A 1,093-nucleotide genomic window follows, 5' to 3' on the forward strand; every position below is an offset into this window, starting at 1 on the left:
AAGGAATTTTAGTTGGAAATGTTATTCTCTTTATGAAGATGTAAATGGCTCTGTTTACTGGCCAATATTTACATACACATACAGTCAATGAATGTTAATTTGCACACAGTGGCATATGTAATTCAAAGTTCATTTTATTAGTTAATTTAGATATGGTTCAATGAGAGTTCAAACTGAGGGCATAGAGTCATATAACATACTCTAGAAGAACAACTTCTCATGAAAACTAAAATAAATTGCTTTACCATGTTTGCCTTTGTATTTCACTTTTTCTGTTCTGAAGAATGAGCATGGTAAAATTTACATATATCTAACGCATATAATGGGCAATGTATGAATTATTTTACAAATTACTCATAACCAGAAGAGTTCTGTTGGATTTTACCATATGGCCAGATTCATCTTGCCTTTCAAACTTATGTAAGTAATTTTTCTGAATCTCTTTTTTTCCCATAACATACATGCTGCTGAGTCCACTCCTCCAAACTAAGTAAAGATAGGAATGCTCATGGCCAAATCATAAGTATAGAAAGTGACTTTTGAACTGATGAAGACTTTCTTCTTGTCTATGCTTTAGTCAGGCTTCTAGGAGCACTCTTTTTGACTCTACTTTGTCCTTGGGCCCTGTCTTTACACTGCCTAGTCCAGCTGTTGCAAGAATGCTGCTAAGTCACTTTAGAGAGAATCTCCCACTCTTGATATCTGATCACTCTGGCTTGCCGTCAGCAAGAATCCTCTTACGTTAGCTAACAAGAAATCCCCTACCCTTGATGTCTCCTCTTAGTAATTTGTATTCATCGACAACCTTTCACTCTGCTCATTAGCTGCACTTCCCAGATATCTTTGCTGTGTTCAGAGTTGAACCTTATCTCTCTTCCTATTAGAATCATCTTGACACCTATCATTTTAATCTTAAATAAAGTGATCCTTAACCATTTTAACAAGTGTTGGAAATTTTTTTATTCAGCAGAACTAACAAATTGTTTGCAAACTATTGAAATAGAACTATTCTATTATGGCCTGCAGATATTTTTCTCAATTATAATTCACTTTCATACTGTAAAAGTATCTTTGCTTTGTGTATATCTTTTTC

The 1,093-nt window shown here is 34.1% G+C and overlaps 1 annotated feature.

The window, feature by feature from the left end:
* Positions 637–837: a silencer, noted in NCBI's record as "peak4340 fragment used in MPRA reporter construct". NCBI's record gives its function as "represses an SCP1 promoter by STARR-seq MPRAs in K562 erythroleukemia cells {active_cell/tissue: K562}" and the evidence as "EXISTENCE:reporter gene assay evidence [ECO:0000049][PMID:32103011]".

The sequence above is a fragment of the Homo sapiens genome, chromosome 21 (assembly GCF_000001405.40).
Source record: "Homo sapiens chromosome 21, GRCh38.p14 Primary Assembly".
NCBI lineage: Eukaryota > Metazoa > Chordata > Mammalia > Primates > Hominidae > Homo > Homo sapiens.